The sequence below is a fragment of the Homo sapiens genome, chromosome 19 (genome assembly GCF_000001405.40).
Source record: "Homo sapiens chromosome 19, GRCh38.p14 Primary Assembly".
Taxonomy (NCBI): domain Eukaryota; kingdom Metazoa; phylum Chordata; class Mammalia; order Primates; family Hominidae; genus Homo; species Homo sapiens.
The window spans coordinates 47,423,173-47,444,521 of NC_000019.10; the positions used below are offsets into that span (position 1 = coordinate 47,423,173).

Sequence of the window (21,349 nt, forward strand, 5' to 3'; positions counted from 1 at the left end):
CTCCATCTCTCTCTGTCTCTCCATCTCTCTCTGTCTCTCCCTCTGTCTCTGTGTGTCTCTCTCCCTGTCTCTCCATGTCCCTCTGTCTGCCATGGGCTCTGTCGGCCCAGCCGTGCCTTTTAAATCTCTGGTCTCTGAGAGTACCCTCGGCGTTGGCCTCACTGGCTTTGTGTGCTGGGAATGGGGTGAGGGTCTTGCCCTGGCGCCCTGGGACGCCCGCCCCGCCCCGCTCCCCACCTCGCTCTCCTCCCTGGTGCTGTGTTCTGAGTCTCTGGGCTTCCTCCGTCTGCATCTTCTCTGCATCCTGTCTGTATCTCTGTCTCTGCTGCCTCTCCGGCCCCTGTGTTTTGTTCTTGGCTCTCTGCTCCCTCTCCAACTTCCCCTCCTCTTTTTGTGTCCCTTCTCCACCTCCTCCACCGTCTGTGTTCCCCCTCTACTGACCCCACCTACCCCTTTCAATCCACCACCCATGACATTCCCTTCCCCGCACTTCCCCAGGGAGAGAATTGCAGGGAGCAGGCAGGGAACGGGAGGCAAAGGTGGCGAGAAGGAGAGAGTGAGGAGGTACCTTGGGAGGCACTGAAGCCTGGAGCCTCATCCCTCTCTCCTTTGGCCATGTGTGCCTGGAAGTCCTCCCTAGTGTCTGATTTCAATCCTCAGGGGGACGGCAGAACGTGGAGGAGATGCCAGGTACCAACCCTTCCCGATTCCCTGGGAGAGGCCGAGGAGGGAGCTGGGGGCATCAGACCAGGAGAGAGGGCAACCTGGGCACAGTCAGTGCTGTGCTGGTGGCCACCCATTGCCTTACTGGAAGAGGGAGGTAGTGAGACCCCCGTTCTGGGAAGTAATCATAGCAGAGGCTGTCTCTGACCCACTCATACCACCTAGGACCCAACAGCATCTCTCACGCTGGCACCTGCGACCCTTCCCTGAATGCTTTCCAGACCAGGGTAGGAGGCGCTAGAAGTCAGCACCCCTAAAGAGGTCCTGGGCCACCATCAGACAGGAGTTAGTGGATACATAACCCAAAGTCTTCAGGTGGGGAACTCCAGAGTTCCCTGAGAGGTCCCCAGCAGGATGGAGACCTCATTGTCCACAGGGTGACCTGCTCATTCAACACTGCCTTTATTATTTATTTATTTATTTATTTGAGATGGAGTCTCGGTCTGTCACCCAGGCTGGAGTGCAGTGGTGTGATCTCGGCTCACTGCAGACTCTGCCTCCTGGGTTCAAGTGATCCTCCTGCCTCAGCCTCCCGAGTAGCTGGGATTATAGCCACCTGCCACCGTGCCCGGCTAATTTTTGTATTTTTAGTAGAGATGGGGTTTCACCATGTTGGCCAGGCTGGTCTTGAACTCCTGACCTCAGGTGATCCGCCCACCTTGGCCTCCCAAAGTGCTGGGATTACAGGCGTGAGCCACCGCGCCCAGCCTTCAACACCACCTTTAATGGTTTTCTTTCCCATCTCCCTCCAGTGCCTCCTGGGATCACCTCACAAATAAACTATTTCCCTCCCATCCTTGCTGTGGGCTGGCTTCTGTTGGTGCTCAGCCTAAGACGGTGGCCAGCGGGGGCATGATGGATGGGCAGAGAGGAAACAAAGGGAAAAGAGGGACCTCTCGTGGTGGTGAATCATATGTGTCTACGTGGCTAGGCTGTGCTGCCCTCATGTTCAGGCATCAGCCTAGATGTTGCTGTGAAGGGGTGTGTGTGTGTTTGAGACAGGGTCTTGCTCTGTTGCCCGGGTTGGAGTGCAGTGGTGCAATCTTGGCTCACTGCAACCTCTGCCTCCCGGGTTCAAGCGATTCTCCCACCTCAGCCTCCTGAATAGCTGGGACTACAGGTGTGAGCTACCACGCCCAGCCATTGTAAAGGTATTTTAAAAATGAGATTAATAGCCGGGCGCGGTGGCTCACTTTGGGAGGCCGAGGTGGGTGGATCACAAGGTCAGGAGATCGAGACCATTCTGGCTAATGCGGTGAAGCCCCGTCTGTACTAAAAATACAAAAAATTAGCCGGGCGTGGTGGCCGGCGCCTGTAGTCCCAGCTACTCATAGTCCCAGCCACTCGGGAGGCTGAGCCAGGAGAATGGCGTGAACCTGGGAGGCGGAGCTTGCAGTGAGCTGAGATCGCACCACTGCACTGCAGCCTGGGCGACAGAGCCAGACTCCATCTCAAAAATAAAAAAAATGAGATTAACATTTAATATCGATTGACTTTGAGTGAAGCAGATTGTATGGGTGGGCCTTATCCAATCAGTTGAAGGCCTTAAGACTGAGGTCCCTCCAGGAAGAAGGAGTTCTGCCTCCAGATGACTTTTAGGTTTTGCTTGGGTTTTGTTCATTTGTTTGTTTTTTGAGACAGGGTCTCACTCTGTCACCTAGGCTGCAGTGCAGTGGCATGATCATGACTCACTGCAGCCTCAACCTTGTGGGCTCAAGTGATCCTCCCACCCCAGCCTCTGGAGCAGCTAGGACTACAGGTGTGCACCACGATGCCTAGATAATTTTTATTTTTAGTAGAGATGGGGTCTCACTGTGTTGCCCAGGCTGGTGTCGAACTTCTGGGCTCAAACAATCCTCCCACCTTGGCCTCCCAAAGTGCTGGGATAACAGACATGAGCCACCACACCCGGCCTGGGAGGCTAATATATATTCATTTAATCCCCACGACAACCCTGTGACATAGGTACTGTTAGCATCATCATCACGCATTTTCCAGATGAGGGAACTGAGGCACAGAGAAAGTCAGCCGCTACACTATGCTGCCTCCCAGGACAATGTTAATCACTCCCAAGCTGACCCCATAGAGCTCTTTGCATCCAGGTGAGAATCATGACCTTCGGGGTGAGGTGACGGGACAGGTGTGAAAGTCCTCATGTTTTCCAAGCCTCAAGCTCTCAATGTGTCTCTCTTTGCAGCTGAGACCTTACTCATCTTCCTGCACCAAGACTCTACACCCCCTTTGTTTGCATTTGTTAAGATGAAGGTGTCCCAGACCTGGCACGATGGTTCACGCCTGTAATCCTTTGGGATTACAGTAGTTCACTTTGGGAGGCTGAGGTGGGTGGATGACCTGAGGTAAGGAGTTCAAAGGAGTTTGAGAACAGCCTGGGCAACATGGTAAAACCTGTCTCTACTAAAAATACAACAATTGGCCAGGTGTGGTGGCGGGCGCCTGTAATCCCAGCTACTTGGGAGGCTGAGGCAGGAAAATCGTTTGAACCCGGGAGGTGGAGGTTGCAGTGAGCCGAGATCGCGCCATTGCACTCCAGCCTAGGCAAAAGGAGTGAAACTCCATCTAAAAAAAAAAAAATTTGAAGGTGTCCCTTGTCCCATTCTACATCGTGGAACTCATCCTGTCCCATCTTTGCCCTTCTACCTGTGAAACTTTGGGCACATTGCTTCACCTCTCTGAGCCTTAGTTTCCTCTTCCGTGGAATGGGGTGATGTATAGAACTGGCAATAGGTTTAAGCAGATCATGCTTGGGGGGGTCCCCATCACTGCCAGCTGCTGTTAGCACAGGCCTCCCTTGCTTTCCTGTGCCCCTGTAGTCAATGCCCTCTACTGCTCCTCCAGCAACCTCCCCTCCTCACATCAGGACTCTCCAGAGAGTGATCTACATGCCCTGACTCAATTTCCCCACCTCCCACTGCAGATCAGTGCACCGTCTGCCCCTACACCTTCCACAAACCTGTTCTCATCAAGGCCTAAAGCCAAAGGTCGATTTTTTTTTTTTTTTGGTAGTGGGGAGACAGGGTTTTTCTCTGTCACTCAGGCTGGAGTGCAGTGGTGCAGTCCTAGCTCACGGCAGCCTCGACCTCCTGGGCTCAAGCAATCCTCCTGCTTCAGCCTCCTGAGTATCTGGGACTACAGGCACATGCCACCACGCTTGGCTAACTTTTAAAGTTTGTGGAGACACGAGGACTCGCTATGTTGTCCAGGCTGGTCTTGAATTCCTAGGCTCAAGCGACCCTTCTGCTTTGGCTTCCCAAAGTGCTGGGATTACAGGCGTGAGCCACCATGCCGTGGGCCTATTGTCTTACCTTGGACTTCAGGTTGGGTGCGGCCGGTGGGAGGAAGTGGCAGGAGACTAGCAGGTGGGAGCAGAATGAGGTCGAGGTGCTTACTCTCCCGGCGCCCCGCTATCCCCAGTGCAGGTTGGTGATGCCTGTACTCTTCTACTCTACAGACTCAGGTCCCCAGGTCTCTGCAGCCTCGGGTGCCTCTGCTCACCCCTTCTAGCCCAGGTATGGCAACTGCTCCCTCTGCTGCTAGCCCTGGGGTACTACACCTTCCCTCGTTTTCCCCAACCCTGCCCACTCCTCAGTAGCCCTTTCACCCAACTCTCCCTGGCTACTCCGTTTGAATGAACACACCACCTCTCTCCTGCCAAGATGCACTCCCTGAACTCCCTCACGCAGCCCCATCCATTCTCTCTCTCAACCACTCCCTTCTCACCATCGCCCTCCCACCCTCCTACTCCCCTCTCCCCTCGTCTGCTGCCTCTGTCCCTGCTCCAGCCTTGTCCCTGGTCTCCCAGCCCCCAGTAGCCAGGAGGAACGTCTCATAAAATAAATCAGGTGATATCAACCGCCTGCCTCCTTCCCCCACTTAAATCCCTTGCAAAGCTCCCCTTTACTCTTAGGATATATTCCAAGCTCCCTAGAGTGGCTGATAAAGTCTCTTATGATTTGTCCTCAAGTTCACTCCCCACGCACCCCATACCTCGTTCATGATAACCATTTCCAGGGCTCTGAAAAAGCCATTATCTCCCAACTCTGCACACCTTTACACAGGCTGTGTCCTTTGGCACAACACACACACACACACCCCTCCTCCTGTAGGATCTGAGAAAATTACTTGCTTTATTTAGGAAACCCCATCAACCCCAGCTCTTTGGCTCAGGCAAATGAACGTCTCTCTTTTGTGTTCCCAGGATGCCCATAAAGAGAAACAGTTTGTGGCTCATGCATGGGGGCGTGGCTAGTGGAAGCCCCTGACTGAAGCAGGAAGGCGTGGCTGAAGCACGACTGATAAGTGGGGGTGTGATTAGTGGAAGAGCTAGGCTGATGAATGGGGGCGTGGTTAGTGGAAACCCGTAATTGACGGATGCGGGCGTAGCAAGTGGAGGAGCTTGGCTGATGAATGGGGGCGTGGTTAGTGGAAACCCACGACTGACGAATGGGGGCATGGAGAGTGGAGGTGCGTGGCTTGTGGAAGCCCATGACTGATGGATGGGGGTGTGGCTAGTGGAAGAGCTAGGCTGACGGATGGGGGCGTGGCTAGTGGAAGCTCATTACTGATGGGGGCGTGGCGAGTGGAAGAGCTTGGCGGCTGGACCCCGGCGCTGCTGCTATATGTGGGTGTGTCCCGCAGACGACCGCGGGCCGCAAAAACCCAGATTACTTGGTTTAACAGTTGCCCAAATCTCAGTCAGAGACCTTATTAGCCCCCTCCTCCTGAATCCCAGCTTCCCACGGGACTGTTTTTCAGGCAGAATTTCAAAGTTTTATGGCAACTTTTACAGAAATCACAGAAAAGAGACAGCGACTGATGATGAGCTGGGGGAGAGAAGGGTAGTGGGTAACGGGTCTGGGATGTTGGGGCTGAGCACAACAGGACGATAGAATGCTGAAAACCTGTGGGAAGCAGAAAGTTATGGGGGTAGTTGGGTCATCCTAGGGGCCCAAGGAGTGGGTGGCACTGCCCAAATGTGTCCTTTGGGCAGGAAACATCAACAGTAAGAAAATGCAGATGGCCTACCGACAGATGGAAGGCCTCCAAAGTTAAAAATGCCCACCCAGATCCCTTGGCCCAGTCCCATCCCCCCACCCATCCCCACCCCCCATCAGGCAGAGATGTGGCAGCATTTGCTGGCTTGTAGCATTGGTCCTCTGGGACCCTCGGTCTCCTCTTCGAGGGTCCTGCCCGGATTGGCTGGCACTGAGGGCAAAAGGAACCTTCCAGATTGTCAGGGGAGATCAACTGGACTCGCTTTGATTCCCGGCCTCCTCCCCAAAGCTGGTTCTCATGGCTGAGGGAGTCTGCTGCCCTCTCAAAAGTTGTCTGTCACCCCCTTTTCCCAAGACATGCACCCTCCCGCGTCCCCCCTCCCCCAAACACACTATATACACACACAAGCCCCTCCCTCCAAGGCGTGGCTGGGCTCTCAGAGGTAGTGGAGGGCGAGTGGGGGAGCTGGAATGTCTGAAGTTGCAGGTTCAAAATGTGCTTCCTCCGGCTAAGCCCTGGGACTGAAACCCCAAACTTCTCCCCTCGTCTCCGAGCCTGGAGAATGAGTGTCCTCCCAAGAACCCGAGTGGAGGGATTGGAAGGAACGGTGTGCGGCCTCCTTGCGCGCACACCCACCCGCTCCTCCCCGCCGGGGCTGAGCGGAGCTCCCTGAGGGCTGGGGGGAAGGGCTGGGAGCTGAGACGGCCTCTGACAGCCTCCTTCGAGGGTCCCCCAGGGAGGGTGGGTTCTGAGGCTCTGGGACATGGGGTGAAGTGGGGGGGGGGTCACTAGGGGAAGGGAGACTTTGGGGGCAAAGCCAGGCTGGGTGACCAAGGAGAGAGACCTTAAACTCCCCAGGATGGTTACTGGGGGTGGTTCCCTGGGGAGGGGACTGGGGTGGAAATTTCCCCAGGGATATAGACGGTCACCAACAGGATGGGCTGGAGTTGGGGTCACCGCAGGGGAGGAACCGGGGAGGCTCCCGAGAGGAAGAGGGAAGGCTGAGCTACTGGGGACACAGAACAGGGCAATCAAAGCCAGGGGAGGGGGCGGAGAAGGGAGGCCGAGTCCCAGGAGAGGAGGCCGAGTCTGGGGGGAAAAGGAGACCAGGGTCCAAGAGCAGGTGCAGCCGAGTCCCTAGCCCCGGGCGGGCGGTGGGGACGAGTCTCTGCGCGAGGCCCTAGAAGCCCCGGATGTGGCAGTACGCCTCCAGGCTGGCGAAGAGGATGTACAGGAGCCAGAGGCCCAGGAAGAGCGCGGTGGTGGCGAGCTTGGGTCCGCGCGGGCCGCCCAGCTCGCCGCCGATGTGCGGCCGGCGCCGGTACAGCAGCACGGCAATGCCCACGAAGGCGAAGACGGTGAAGAGCGTGACGGAGAAGGCCAGCGTGCCAGTGCGCACCTCGAAGGGGCGGCCCTGCACCGCCCAGTACACGGCGGCCACAGACCAGGCGACGCCCAGGCCAAGGAACACGTTCACCGCGTTGGAGCCGGTCACGTTGCCGATGGACGCGTCGGCGCACTGGTCCTGCAGCGCCGCCACCTTGCTGGCGAACGTGTCTGCGAGGCAGAGACATACAGGTCGGAGGGGCTTTGCGCCGCCACCCACAGGGGCGGGCATCCGCCTGCCCCCTCCCAGCCTTTCCCGGTCGCCTGCTTTCTGCGGGCAGTGTGGGCTCAAGACCCCTGACCCCCACCCAAGAGGCAAAGTCCATCACCACCTTTAGGCCTGCTCGCCACTGGAACCGCTGCCGGCTTTCTATGGGACCTGCCGCCTGCTTTCTGTGGGATTCATTCTCTTCTATGGGACTCACTGCGTGATTTCTTTTTTTTTCCTCCGAGACGGAGTTTTGCTCTGTCACCCAGGCTGGAGTGCAGTGGCGTGATCTCAGCTCACTGCAACTTCCGCCTCCCAGGTTCAAGCGATTCTCTTGCCGGAGCCTCTGAGTAGCTGGGATTACAGGCGCCCACCACGCCCTGCTAAGATTTTGTGTTTTTAGTAGAGACGGGGTTTCACCATGTTGGCCAGGCTGGTCTCGAACTCCTGATCTGAGGTGATCCACTCGCCTCGGTCTCCCAAAGTGCTGGGATTACAGGTATGAGCCACCGCGCCTAGCTGTATTTTTTGTTTGTTTTGTTTTGAGACAGGGTCTTGCTCTGTTGCCCAGGCTGGAGTACAGTGGTGCGATCATGGCTCACTGCAGCCTCATTTTCCCCAGCTCAGGTGATCCTCCCACCTCAGCCTCCCGAGCAGCTGGGATCACAGGCATGCGCCACCACGTCCAGCTAATTTTTGTATATTTTGTAGATACGGGGTTTCACCATGTTGCCCAGGCTGGTCTCAAACTCCTGGGCCCAAGCAATCCTACCCCTGCCTTGGCCCCCCGCCTTTGCCTCCCAAAGTGCTGGCGTGAGCCACCACACCCCACCTGCCCCCTCATCTTAGTTAAAACTCTGAGGTTTGGCCAGGCGTGGTGGCTCACGCCTGTAATCCCAGCACTTTGGGAGGCAGAGGTGGGCGGATCACGAGGTCAGGAGTTCGAGACCAGCCTGGCCAATATGGTGAAACCCCGTCTCTACTAAAAACGTAAAAATTAGCTGGATGTGGTGGCGCACGCCTGTAGTCTCAGCTGCTCAGGAGGCTGAGACAGAAGAATCGCTTGAACCTGGGAGGCAGAGGTTGCAGTGAGCCGAGATCACAAGATCACTGCACTCCAGCCTGGGTGACAGAGCGAGACTCTGTCCCCACACCAAAAAAAAAAAAAAAAAAAAAAACAAAACCCAAAAAAACCAACTTTGAGGTTCACTGGCCTGGTTTCTGTCATGTCCCCCAACATAGTTCCATGGACTCTTCTGTCTGGTTTCTTGCGGGATGGGACATCAACAGCTTGTTTCTATGGAACCCACTGATTGGCTTCTCTGACAATCCCCACCGTCTTCCTAGGAACCCCTCTCCCCACAGCTGTCTCTTCCCCACCCTGCCACCTTCTCTCTATGAAATCCATTGTCTGGTTTCTAGCATTTCCTGCTACCTTAGTTTTATGGGACCTTCTACCTGGGTGCTTTTGGGGAGGATTCAATTCACATCTTGCACCTAGGGGACCCGCTGCCTGGCTTCTATTATGCCCCACCTCCGTATTTCTCTGAGACCCACCACATGGGCGCTGTGTGACTCCACCCACCTCATTTTGGCAGGATCCTGTGTTGCCCCTGCCTGGCTCATCTGAGATCCTACCCCACCAAAGTCTCCCAGGGTGTTACCAGGGATGGAGGTGCCCAGGGCAACGAAGACAACAGCATTGACAGAGTCCTTGAGGCCAACGGTGCAGCCGAAGTGGGAGGCGAGGTCCCCAATGAGGGCGGTGAGCAGGCCGATGACCAGGATGGAGACACCAAAGCAGGCCCAGCCGTGGCAGTACTCGGTGGGGGGCACACAGGCGAAGAGCACCTTCCAGAACACCGTCAGGAAGTGCATCACGTAGTCAAAGCACGACGGCAGCCGCTCCTCCCGGGACCCGTCCTCCTCCTCCTCCTCGTCCCCTGTGGGCACACGACCCAGCTGGGGCATACACTCAGACTTCCTTCCTTGCCTACAGAGGCCCCATTTTGTCTAACTTCCTGACAGCAAGTCCCATTGAATGAACTTCTTTCCCAGAATCCCTTGCACCTACCTGTGGCCAAGTCAACTGCTAAAAACAGTTACTTTCCCAGAATCCCTTGAAGCTAGGAGCTTGATTGGGCCCAGGTGAAAAATATTTACTTTCCCAGAATCCTTTGGATCTAAATATGGCTAAGTCAGCAGTAAAAACAGTTACTTCCATAGAATCCCTTGGAGCTAGGGGCATGACTGAGTCCAGGTAAAAAAATTTTACTTTCCCAGAATCCCTTGCACCTAAGTGTGGCCATGTCAGCAGCTAAAAACAGTTACTTTCCCTGCATCCTTTGAAGCTAGGAGTGTGAATGGGCCCAGGTGACAAATATTTATTTTCCCAGAATCCCTTGCACCTAAATGTGGCCAAGTCAGCAGCTAAAACCCATTACTTTCCCAGAATCCCTTGAAGCTAGGAGCATGAATGGACCCAGGTGAAAAATATTTAGTTTCCCGGAACTGCTTGCACCTAAATGTGGCCAAGTCAATGCTAAAAACAGTTACTTTCCCAGAATCCCTTGAAGCTAGAGGAAGCCACATCTGCCCAGCTAAAAACATCCAGTTCCCCAAGACCGTTTGCTGCCAGGGACAGCCATACCCCTAGCTAAAATTATTCATTTTCCCAGAAGCCTTCACAGCTGCTGAAAGCCAGTCCACAGCTAGAAGTATTCACTTCCTCAGATTCACTGCAGCTAACCAGAGCCACAGTCTCCACTAAATGTACTCACTTTCCCAGAATCCCTTGCAGCTAGAGGGCTATATACCCAGCCAAAATTAATCACTTTCCTAGAATCCCTTGAGACTAGCAACAGCTATGGCCTCAGATAAAAATATGGTATTCACTTTCCCAGAATCCCTTGCAGTTGGCAGTTGCCATGTCCCTGGCTAAATACTTGTTTTGCCAGAATTCCTCCTGTGAGTGACTATCTGACCCAGTCTGCCAATGAGATATAAACAGAGGGTTTCTGGAAAGCCCTGGCTTTCCTGATGTGGGCATTGGGTTACAGATGTGTTTTCTGAGCTTTGTAAATGATGCCTCATGCTTAGAGCTGTATCACCTATTGTGACCTAATTTGACCAGCTTTTGACCTGCAGTGACTTTTTTTTTTTTTTGAGACAGAGCCTCCCTCCGTTACCAAGGCAGTAGTGTGATCTCAGCTTACTGTAACCTCCGCCTCCTGAGTTCGAGTGATTCTCATGCCTCAGTCTACTGAGTAGCTGGAATCACAGGTGTGCACCACCCCACCTGGCTGATTTTTTTGTATTTTTACTAGAGATGGGATTTCGCCATGTTGGCCAGGCTGGTCTTAAACTCCTGGCCTCAACTGATCTGCCCTCCTAGGCCTCCCAAAGTTTTGGGATTACAGGTGTCGGCCACCGTGCCCAGCCGACCTGCAGTGGCTTTTATAACCTGAAAGCCCTAAGGCAGTGTTTTGTTTACCTCACCCTAAGCTGATTAGTATAAAGCAATGAATGAGAATCAATGAGCACACTTGTGTGTGGCACGCATTACATCTGGAAGGATGCTCATGAGAACGAACGTAGCTCCTGACCAGTCACTGCTGAACGCATCCCTAACTGATGTAAGACATGGCTGAGGTCAGAGCAGGGAGGCCACGCTCTTTGGGAGAGAGGTGGCTGCTATTACCGCATCACTATGTCAGTTGAGGCTTCTGCCTGCCCTGCTTCAAATCCTTCCTTGGTTCTTGTACTACCTTCAAACCCAGGCCCACATGCCTAGGCTTGGCATTCTGCGGACTCTGGCCTCAGCTGACTTCCCCAGCTGCTCCCCTCTACAGGGAGGCTCGTGGTTATGCCTGTCACTCTGAAGTCACCTCTCTGGTGTCCAACCCTGGATCCACTGTGTGATCCTGAATCAGTGTCCTCACCTCTCTGGGCTTCTGGGTGCCTATCTGTGATAAATAATTGGACCTGCTTCATGGGAAACTTGTGATGACAGAATGAGTTGGTTCATGTAAAGTGCTGTCAACGGTCTCGGACACCTCCAGCGTTATTACTGTTGTTTCGATTGTTATGATTGAAGGCCTTTTTTGGTGCCTGGGGGAAATTCAAAGATGCTCCATGCCAAGTCCAGCCCACAAGGAGCTTACAGTAGGAAGGGAGGTAAAGGAAGTACAAAAGCTCTGCGACAAGATGGGACCCGACTCATCTCCTAAGGGAGTGAGGACTACCCTTCTCCCTCACCCCTCCAGCAGCTCTGTGCTCGCACAGCAAAGAACCAAAAGGCACGTGCTGAACAAAGTGCAAAGTGACCAAGCTCTGATCCAGACACTGAGGATACATTAATTAAAATGAGTTCACACAGGAAATAAATTTCCAACCATGCCTGGCACTCAAGACACGATAGGGTCAGCTGGGCACAGTAGCTTACACCTGTAATCCCAGCACTTTGGGAGGCGGATGTGGGCAGATCACTTGAGGTCAGGAGTTCAAGACCAGTCCGGCCAACATGGTGAAATCCCATCTCTACTAAAAATACAAAACTTAGCCAGACATGGTGGTGGGTGCCTGTAATCCCAGCTACTCAGGAGGCTGAGTCAGGAGGATCGCTTGAACCCAGGAGGAGGAGGCTGAGGAGGCTGCAGTGAGCCGAGATCACACCACTACACTCCAGCCTGGATGACAGAGACTACATATCTCAAAAAAAAAAGACATGATAGGGTCACCGTTGTCATAATCAGGATTATTATTACAGTTATTATTATTGTTATGTTGTTATTCTTCCTCCACCCCGATCTAATCACCTGATCTAACCACCTGGTTTCTATAAACCCACAGCACGATGTACGCTGGGTCTCTACGACCGCCACCTCCCACCTCGTTTCAGTTCCGCCTCATCCTCCGTCTCCACTAAGTCCCCAGAGGAAGGAAATGCTCCGAAGCTCAAAGAGCCCCTTGCCATCTCCCCGTTGTTCGTGGAATGAACCTCAAAGGAGCCTCTGCAGGGCCCGTCTCCTGCTAGTTTCTTTTCTTCGTTTTTTTTTTTTTTTTTAGACGGAGTTTCGCTTTGTTGCCCAGGCTGGAGTGCAATGGTGCTATCTCGGCTCACCGCAACCTCTGCCTCCCAGGTTCAAGCGATTCTCCTGCCTCAGCCTCCTGAGTACCTAGGATTACAGGCGCAGGCCACCATGCCCGGCTAATTTTGTATTTTTAGTAGAGACGGGGTTTCTCCATGTTGGTCAGGCTGGTCTCGAACTCCTGACCTCAGGTGATCCACCTGCCTCGGCCTCCCAAAGTGCTAGGATTACAGGCGTGAGCCACCGCACCCAGCCTCTACTGCTAGTTTCTACAGCCTCTACCCACACCCTCTCCACTTTCCTCCCACAAGCTCTCTCTAGCCCCAGGGGCTTCCCCCATTCAAAACCCTCCATGGCTCCCCAGTGTGTTCAAATGCCACCCAAGCTCCCTACTGTGGTCCACAAGGAGCAGTGTAGAAATGTGCCGATTTCCAGCCTCATCCTGGTACCTCTTCCTCCCGCCCAACACCAGGCACCCACCCAAAAAATGTGCCATAATCTCGCACACTCCAGGGCTTCTGTGCTTGGCTCTCCCTCTGCCTGAAACACTCTCCCTGTCTTCTCCCTCCTCCTGGCTGACATCTTTACCCATTTGAAGACTCAGCTGGGAAGCCACCCCCTCCAGGAAGCCCTCCCTGACTTTCAGGCTGGGTTAGGAACCGCATCAGGGCTTTCCTCCGGGTCTCCCATCCCAGCCCTGCCTACTCTGGGTTGTCTGTGTCTTGTGACATGTCTGTCTCCTGCACTGGGCTGTAAGCTCCATGACAGGGCCAGAAATCACTTCTGTGTCCCTGGCAATGTCTCACATAGGGTCGGGCCCAGAAGATCCCTCAGAAGTATGTCAGAAGAATGTGGCTTCAGAGGGAGATGCCACTTTGTTTCTACTGGGCAAACAGTCTGGTGTTTCTAGGACTGCTGCCTTGTATTTTCCCATCCCCTTAAGCCTGGTTTCTTTGGATCCTGCTCGCCCAGTTTCTTTGCAACCACAATTCCATGTACGCCTTCAGTCCCCAAGAGCTGGGGCCTTAACCCTGATGTTATGTAAGAGATTGAAGCCCTGAGCTCCGACCTCGGGCCTTTTCTGGACTCCCTGTGGGACTTCAGGCCACTCCCTCCTCTGTCTCTGAGCCTCAGTCTCCCCAGTCCATATCACAAAGGGCCAGTGTTGGCTTCCAAGACCGTCAGTGGGTACAAGTGTCGTAGTGTCTCTAGCCACAAGGGGGCAGTGTGGGCCTGTCTGAGGCCAAGGAGGGTGGTGACCCGCGCAGGTAGGAAAGAGCTCGGTGCCCTGGTGACTGTCTCCAGGGCAACGGAGGAACCCAGGCTCTCTCTGGGGTGGCCACACCATTTAATCTGTTCCCACCCTCCTGATGCCTGATGCTGGGAGAAAGCCCAGGCTGGGAACCCTCCCGGTTCAGCCCAGAGCCAAACACAAACCCTCCCAGCCGCTCCAGCCACCACCTCTCCCTTCTCTGCCCTTTCTGTATCCTCATCTACCTGCCTCTCCCTCTCCCCGGCCCATTTCAGTTTGCACCGTTCATTCTGTCTCATGTCTTCTCCATGTCTCTCTGATTCTCCCTGTGTATTTCTGTGTGTCTCTCTCTCCTGCTTGTATTTTTTTTAGAGACAGCGTCTTGCTCTGTTGCCCAGGCTGGAGTGCAGAGGCACGATCATGGCTCATTGCAGCCTCAAACTCCTGGCCTCAAGCAATCCTCCCGCCTCACCCTCCCAAAGCGCCAGGATTCCAGGCATGAGCCACCGCGCCCGGCCTGTTTATCTTTGTGCCTGTCTCTCCATTCATTTCTCCCCCTTTCCCTGTGTCTCTGTCTCTCCATCTTTCTCTCTTCTCTCTCCTCCCTCCCCACTTACCTGCGCTCACCGTAATTGCCTCTAAAAACTGCTCCCTCCATGAATGGGTCCCAATTACCAAGGCCAAGTTCGTTTTCTTGATGAGTTTATCCACCGTGTTCTGGGGATGAGAGGGTGGGGGAGAGGTCACTGCCCCTGAGCGAACCAGGGAAGCTCCATGTTGGGTCCTGGGTCGGGGGCTCACAGCCTGTGCCCAGGGGTCCTCAACTTTCCACACCCCCGTTCTGAAGGCAAGCAAGGAAAAGGGAGGCATGTGCTGTCCGTGGTCCTGACGTGGGACCCTTCTTTGGCTTGATCTTAGGAACCTTGTGGCTCCCCGCTTTCCGGACCCTCCCCAAGGAAATGAACCAGGCTGGACTCCAGGAAGGTGAGGCCCCGGAAAATCACCTTAAAATCATATGACTCCTCGATGATGACCTCCAGCCGGCAGTTCTCCCCAAGAACTGGCTTGCCCATCTCTGCTATCCTCCGAGCCTCCTCCTCCTCGGCTGTTAGCTTCCTGTCCCCATCCCCTGCAGCATGAGGGGTGGGGGTTAGACTCCTGGGAGACCTACCTAATTGGGCCTGTGACGCCTTTACTACCTGTCCCCATAGTTAGAGAAAGCCTATCTGTTCTCCTCTGGGAAGCTCCTTGGTGACTCCTCCCAGCCTCCCACCTGACCACCGTCTCCTTCAACCCTGAGGTCCAGCTCCCAAGGGTTGGTTCATGATCTTTAGTTGGTGGGCTCTGGGGTTCGTATGGTGGAGGCTGTGAGACTTTAGGCAATACCTGAGCCTCTCTGTGCCTTAGTTTTCATAACTGTTAAACGGGCACAATAATTAGTACCTACCTCATGGGGTGGTTGTGAGACTTAAATGAGTTAATTCGTGTGAAGTGCTTAGAACAGTGCCTGGCACACAATAAATATTCAATACATGTTACTATCTTTATTATTATCACCAACATTATCATCATCGTTGCCACCCTGATAGGGGAGGCCTGGTCTCTACATCCAGTTTCTGGAAACATCCTAGAGTGTGGCTGACATGGTAAGGAAAGGGGAGGACATCCGATTTTGGCACAAATCTTGGAACCAGACCCACCTACATCCTGGTCCTGAGCTCGCTTCTCTCCCCAAAGTATGCTGACCCCTGACTCCAAGCCCAGCAGCAGCCCAACCCTAATTCTGGTCCCTAACTCTGAGCTGGACTCTCACTGTGGCCCCAAATGGAAGCCTGTCATCAACACTGACTCCAAACCCCAACCCTCAGCCCTGGATCTGACCTCAGCACAACCCTAGCCCTAAACCCTAATCCCGACTCTAACATTCACCATAACCTGGAGCATCAATAACCCCAAGCCAAATCCCACACTCTATCTCCAGATCTAACTCCAGTCCTACACCTGACCTCAAACCTCAGTCCCAACTCCCAACTCTGACACCATCACTCATGAGGAGCTTGACCACACGGCAGAAGCTGAAGTGTGTTCACCTGAACCTGTTTCCTCTCCTTCCTGGGCAAAGAGCTGAACTACATTTCCCAGCCTCCCTTGCAGCTGGGCGTGGCCACGGCCTGAGTTATGGACACTAGAATGTGGGCAGAAGTGATGGTCAGTCCCTCCAGGCTTAGCCCCCGAAAACCTCCCATGTGAGCCTCGAAACTCTCTTGCCCTGTTCACCAGCAGCAAACCCAGCCACAATGCCAAAGCTCCCTGGCACAGTGGAGTCACAAGATGGAATGGCCACATGGCAGAAGAAAGCCACCCACCAACTAGGAACACTCTCGTAAAACTTTGCCTGAGAGGCCAGGTACAGTGGCTCATGTCTGTAATCCCAGCACTTTAGGAGGCCAAGGCAGGTGGATCACCTGAGGTCAGGAGTTCGAGACCAGCCTGGCCAACATGGTGAAACCCCATCTCTACTAAAAAATACAAAAAAAATTAGCTAGGTGTGGTGGCAGGTGCCTGTAATCCCAGCTACTCGGGAGGCTGAGGCAGGAGAATCTCTTGAACCCCGGGGGGTGGAGGTTGCCATGAGCCGAGATCGCACCATTGCACTCTAGCTTGGGCAACGAGAGCAAAACTCCGTCTCACAAAGACAAACAAAGAAACAAAAAACAACTTTGCCTGAGCAAGAAATAACTTTTTTTCTCTCTTCTCCCTCCTTCCTTCCTTTCTTCCTTCCTTCCTTCCTTCCTTCCTCCCCTCCCTCCCTCTCTCTCTCTCTTTCTTACTTTTCTGAGATGGAGTCTCGCTCTGTCACCCAGGCTGGAGTGCAGTGGCACGATCTCGGCTCACTGCAACCTCCACTTTCCAGGATCAAGTGATTCTCCTGCCTTAGGCTCCTGAGTAGGTGGGATCACAGGTGCCCACCACCATGCCCGGCTAATTTTTGTATTTTTAGTAGAGACAGGGTTTCACCATGTTGGTTAGGCTGGTCTTGAACTCCTGACCTTAAGTGATCCGCCCGCCTGGGCCTCTCAAAGTGCTGGGATTACAGACATGAGGCATTGTGCCCAGTAAAGAAATAACTTTTATTGTGTTAAGCCCCTGTGACTTGTCGGTCAGTTTGTTATAGCAGCTTGTATTGCTTCCTCCAACGAATACAATCTTTAATCTAACTCTAATCCTAACCACGGATCCCAATTCTGATCTTGACTCCAAAATGACTTTGTCCATCTCCAAGCCACTGACCTTAGCCCTAACTCTTACTCCAATCTCTGACCTTGGCCCCAATTCTAACCTAAATTCCTCAAACTCTATTACTCACCTCAAAGTCCAACTTTAGCTTTGACCTAAATCTGACTCTAATTCTAATCTGATCCCACCAGCAGGAAAGCACCTCCACTGTGACTCTCACCTTAACATGGTCCTAACCCCGATCTCCAATCCAAACCCCACCTCACTCCTAATCAACCCCAAACTGGATTCTCTCTGACCTCACTCTCACAAACCCAGATCTGATTGTATGACTTACAACCCTGATTACAGACATAATCTTTTGAGATGGAGTCTTGCTCTGTTGCCCAGGCTGGAGTGCAGTGGCACCATCTTGGCTCATTGCAACCTCTGCCTCCCGGGTTCAAGCGATTCTCCTGCCTCAGCCTCCCAAGCAGCTGGGATTCCAGATGCCTGTCATCACACTCAGCTAATTTTTTTTTTTATTTGAGGCAGAGTTTCGTTCTTGTTCCCCAGCGTGGAGTGCAATGGCGCGATCTCGGCTCACCGCAACCTCCACCTCCCGGGTTCGAGCGATTCTCCTGCCTCAGCCTCCTGAGTAGCTGGAATTACAGTTGTGTGCCATCAGGCCCGGCTAATTTTGTATTTTTAATAGAGACGGAGTTTCACCATGTTGGTCAGGCTGCTCTCTAACTCCTGACCTCCGGTGATCCACTCTCCTCGGCCTCCCAAAGTGCTGGGATTATAGGTGTGAGCCACCGCACCTGGCCTCACCCAGGTAATTTTTGTATCTTTACAAGAGATGGGGTTTCACCATGTTACAGACATAATCTTGACCTCCAAAATGCTAACTGTAATCCCAAACTCATACAGGCACCACCAACTCTCAGGCCAGACCCCACTGTCCCCCAGCCCTGAATCTGCCTTTATCTCACCTCCAATCTGCCTCAAACCCAACCTGGAAGAGTAGCTTTGGGGCTGGGACCCTCCCCCAGGCCCTCTTCCAGTGGCTCCTCCCCACTCAGAGCCCAGAGGTGACTTCACTCACCTTGATTGAGTAGCAGAGCTGGGGAGAGACAGAGACAGGCAGACAGTGAGATCAGTTCCCCACGAAGCTCAGGTCCACGAGCTTTAAGGAGTGCCTGCAATTGAGCCCCTGAAAGTCCCCCGACCCTGGACCCCTTACTTCTCCCACAGCCCACTGGTCACCCCTCACCTGAAATCCCTCGCTTAAGCCACTGGGGCTGGCCCAGCTCAATGAAGAAATTATCCTTTTTCTCATATTCCTCGTCATCAACTATCTTCACCTGAAGAGTTTTCCTGTGCAGGGGGTAAGGGGGAGGCAGAACACTCAGTGTAAGGCCCCCTCCCCAGACTCACCAGGCAACCCTCCTGGCAGCCACCCAGTTTTCCAAGCACCTCCTCTGTCCCAGACTCCACAATCTCATTTACTTCTCACCACCACGCAGGGAGGAAGGCTCTATTATCATCCCCATTTGACAGAAACAAAACCAGGCACTGGTGAGGAAGCTGAGTCTGATTAAAGTAAAGCATTCTGGGTGCGGTGGCTCATGCCTCTTATCCCAGAACTTTAGGAGGCTGAGGAGGGAGGGTTGCTTGAGGCCAGGAGTTCAAGACCAGCCTGGGCAATATATTGAGAGCCCATCTCTATTTATATTAAATAATTTATTTTAAAAAATAGGCCGGGCACGGTGGCTCACGCCTGTAATCCCAGCACTTTGGGAGGCCGAGGCGGGCGGATCACGAGGTCAAGAGATTGAGACCATCCTGTCCAACATGGTGAAACTCTGTCTCTACTAAAAATACAAAAATTAGCTGGGTGTGGTGGCACATGCCTGTAGTCCCAGCTACCTGGGAGGCTGAGGCAGGAGAATTGCTTGAACCTGGGAGGTGGAGGTTGCAGTGAGCTGAGATCATGCCACTGCACTCCAGCCTGGCAACAGAGCGAGACACCATCTCAAAAAATAATAATAATAAAAAAATAAAGCAAAGCGGTATGAGCTCATGGTTGAGACAGGATTTGAACTTACAACTGTCAGAATCCAGACTGTTAACCCCTGCACTCCAGCCCAGCCACTATGGTCTCCTACCTAGATTACTAGTTGCCTGCTAAACAATCCCATGCTTCAGCCTCACCGCCCACAGTCTGTTCCTTCAAGAGCAGCCAGAGTGATCCTGATAGAACCAAAGTCAGACCGCATTCCTCCCCTGTGCAAAACATTTGCAAGGCTCCTATCTCTCACAGAATGAAAGTCAAAGTCCTTAGGATGGCCCACAAGACCCCCTGCAATCTAGCACTCATTCCCTTTCTGGCCTCCTTGCTATTCCTTGAACAAGCCAGGCCTGCTCATGCCTCAGGGCTTTTGCACTGGCTGTTCCCTCTGCCTAGAACACTCTTCCCCCAGGCTCCCTTCCTCAGTTCTTCATTCAAACTTCACCTTCTCAATGGGGCCCACTTCTTCCATCTTATTTAATAGTGAAATCCCTCACTGCTCCCCCTCCAGCACTCCCTTATACTGCTCTGTTGTCTTTCTTTTTAATGTATTTATTATTATTTTTGGAGACAAGATCTTGCTGTGTCACCCAGGTTGGAGTGCAGTGGTGCAATCATAGCTCAATGCAGCCTCAAAGTCCTGGGATCAAGCGATCCTCCTGCCTCAGCCTCTCATGTAGCTGGGACTACAGGTATACACTACCATGCTCAGTTAATTTTTTATTTTTTGTAGAGATGGGGTCTCACCACATTGCCCAGGCTGGTCTTGAACTCCTGCCCTCAAGTGATCCTCCCATCTTGGCCTCCCAAAGTGCTGGGATTACAGATGTGAGCCATGGCACCTGGCCTGTCTTCTTTAAATATCACCTTCTAACACCCTCTAACATTTATTTAGTTTATTGTTCGTCATTTACCATTTGCTTCCCCATCTTTAAATTTAAGTTCCCCCAGGTAAGTTCATTTATGTTTTTTGTTTTATCTCCAACACCCAGAACAGTCCCTGGCATAGAGCACACCCTCCATGCATATTTTGCTAACTCCAATCCTTCAGCACAGAAAACCCTCAGCTTCCTGCTCTCTGTCCCAACCAGATCTGGAGAGTTAACCAAGTGCTGATGCTAACTGATTTTCTCAGCATCTCTGCTCCTATGGTAACCAGGGGGTGGCAGGAAACAGCCAGAAGTTACCTGTCACCTTCAGGCACATAATCCACACCCCTCGACCCCAAAGACCCACAAACCCAGAATGCCCACAGCTTTGCCACTGGCAACTCTTTAGGCTGTAGGAACCATGTAGTCCCACAAGGCCTGGCCCCAGAACCCAAAAACACAAACACCCAGCCCACACAGTCACCCAATCGAGGAAGCACAGCCGATCACACCGCCCACACCCACACGCCATCACACCCTACAGCCATTCCCACTGCAGTGGCAAGACTGCATGGACCAGATGCCCGTCAGTTAGCACGACTCCCCCACCACAGCCTTGGCGACATCGCCACCCTGCAGCCCCTCACTGTGGTACCACGTAGACGCTCCTACCTTATATCTAACTCCTGACGCCTCTTGGTGTCTCTGTTTACTTCCTTCAGTGCCTCTCTGCATCTCTGTCCCTACATTTTCCATCTTCTTTTCTCTCTCTGCCTCTCTCAGCTTCTCTGGGTCTATCTCTCCATCTCTGACTCTGTCTCTCTGACTCTCCAGCAGTCTCTCTCTCTGACTCTGACTCTCTCCGTTCTCTGTCTCAGTCTCTTCTCATCTCTCTGCTCTCCCTTTTTTTGAAACAAAGTCTCGCTCTGTTGCCCAGGCTGGAGTGCAGTGGCATAATCATGGCTCACTGCAGCCTTGATCTCCAGGGCTCAAGCAATCCTCCCACCTCAGCCTCCTAAGTAGCTGGAAATATAAGCGTGTGCCACCACACCTGGCTACTTTTAAATTTTTTATAGAGACAGGATCTCACTATGTTGCCCAGGCTGGTCTTGAATTCCTGGCCTCAAGTGATCCTCCCACCTTGGCCTCCCCAGTGCTGGGGTTACAGGTGTGAGCCACAGCACCTGGCCCGCCCTTCTTTATCTGGATTCTTCTCTCCCTGTCTCTGTCTTTCAGAGTCTAAAGAATGGAGTAACAAAAGTCAACACACTTCAAGCAGAAGAGTTTCAATCAGGCAGTCATTCAAAAGACGCATCTCAACACACAAACACGCACAAGACACAGCGACACCCGCGCAAGGACAGGCGCACACAAGACGGCCATGTGGGGACATCCGCCCACCTCCACCCTCCTGGTTTCAGGATATTTTCAATTTTCTGTGGGTGGAAAGAAAGGGCCGCCCCCGACCTCGGCGTGGGCTGTGAGCTGTCCGCGGTGCTGAAATGCTGGGGCCGGCGA

At 53.3% G+C, this 21,349-nt stretch overlaps 1 protein-coding gene across 1 annotated transcript in view, besides 7 other annotated features; it reads right to left on the reverse strand.

The window, feature by feature from the left end:
- Positions 4,662-5,230: an enhancer, noted in NCBI's record as "H3K27ac-H3K4me1 hESC enhancer chr19:47931091-47931659 (GRCh37/hg19 assembly coordinates)". NCBI's record gives its function as "activates a minimal SCP1, AML or CMV promoter by ChIP-STARR-seq in naive H9 embryonic stem cells {active_cell/tissue: H9 hESC(naive)}" and the evidence as "EXISTENCE:reporter gene assay evidence [ECO:0000049][PMID:30033119]".
- Positions 4,662-5,798: a biological region, named in NCBI's record as "hESC enhancers GRCh37_chr19:47931091-47931659 and GRCh37_chr19:47931660-47932227".
- The window catches only part of SLC8A2 (solute carrier family 8 member A2), a 43,877-nt gene continuing 27,372 nt past the window's right edge, over positions 4,845-21,349 (reverse strand). The window contains exons 5-10 of the mRNA NM_015063.3: positions 18,165-18,268; positions 17,997-18,014; positions 14,677-14,801; positions 14,290-14,389; positions 8,995-9,273; positions 4,845-7,293 (exon numbers count right to left, since the gene is read on the reverse strand). Coding sequence (NP_055878.1) covers positions 6,917-7,293; positions 8,995-9,273; positions 14,290-14,389; positions 14,677-14,801; positions 17,997-18,014; positions 18,165-18,268 — 1,003 coding nt within the window. The 3' untranslated portion in view covers positions 4,845-6,916. The remainder of the gene's footprint in view (positions 7,294-8,994; positions 9,274-14,289; positions 14,390-14,676; positions 14,802-17,996; positions 18,015-18,164; positions 18,269-21,349) is intronic.
- Positions 5,020-5,314: an enhancer, noted in NCBI's record as "tiled region #6080; K562 Activating DNase unmatched - State 5:Enh". NCBI's record gives its function as "activates a minimal TATA promoter and a strong SV40 promoter by Sharpr-MPRA in K562 cells {active_cell/tissue: K562}" and the evidence as "EXISTENCE:reporter gene assay evidence [ECO:0000049][PMID:27701403]".
- Positions 5,231-5,798: an enhancer, noted in NCBI's record as "H3K4me1 hESC enhancer chr19:47931660-47932227 (GRCh37/hg19 assembly coordinates)". NCBI's record gives its function as "activates a minimal SCP1, AML or CMV promoter by ChIP-STARR-seq in naive H9 embryonic stem cells {active_cell/tissue: H9 hESC(naive)}" and the evidence as "EXISTENCE:reporter gene assay evidence [ECO:0000049][PMID:30033119]".
- Positions 6,000-6,294: an enhancer, noted in NCBI's record as "tiled region #169; K562 Activating non-DNase unmatched - State 7:EnhWF". NCBI's record gives its function as "activates a minimal TATA promoter and a strong SV40 promoter by Sharpr-MPRA in K562 cells {active_cell/tissue: K562}" and the evidence as "EXISTENCE:reporter gene assay evidence [ECO:0000049][PMID:27701403]".
- Positions 13,422-13,923: an enhancer, noted in NCBI's record as "H3K4me1 hESC enhancer chr19:47939851-47940352 (GRCh37/hg19 assembly coordinates)". NCBI's record gives its function as "activates a minimal SCP1, AML or CMV promoter by ChIP-STARR-seq in naive H9 embryonic stem cells {active_cell/tissue: H9 hESC(naive)}" and the evidence as "EXISTENCE:reporter gene assay evidence [ECO:0000049][PMID:30033119]".
- Positions 18,870-19,017: a silencer, noted in NCBI's record as "fragment chr19:47945299-47945446 (GRCh37/hg19 assembly coordinates)". NCBI's record gives its function as "represses an EF-1alpha promoter that drives an FKBP-Casp9 reporter gene in an ReSE screen in phorbol 12-myristate 13-acetate-treated (for megakaryocytic differentiation) K562 erythroleukemia cells {active_cell/tissue: K562(+PMA)}" and the evidence as "EXISTENCE:reporter gene assay evidence [ECO:0000049][PMID:32094911]".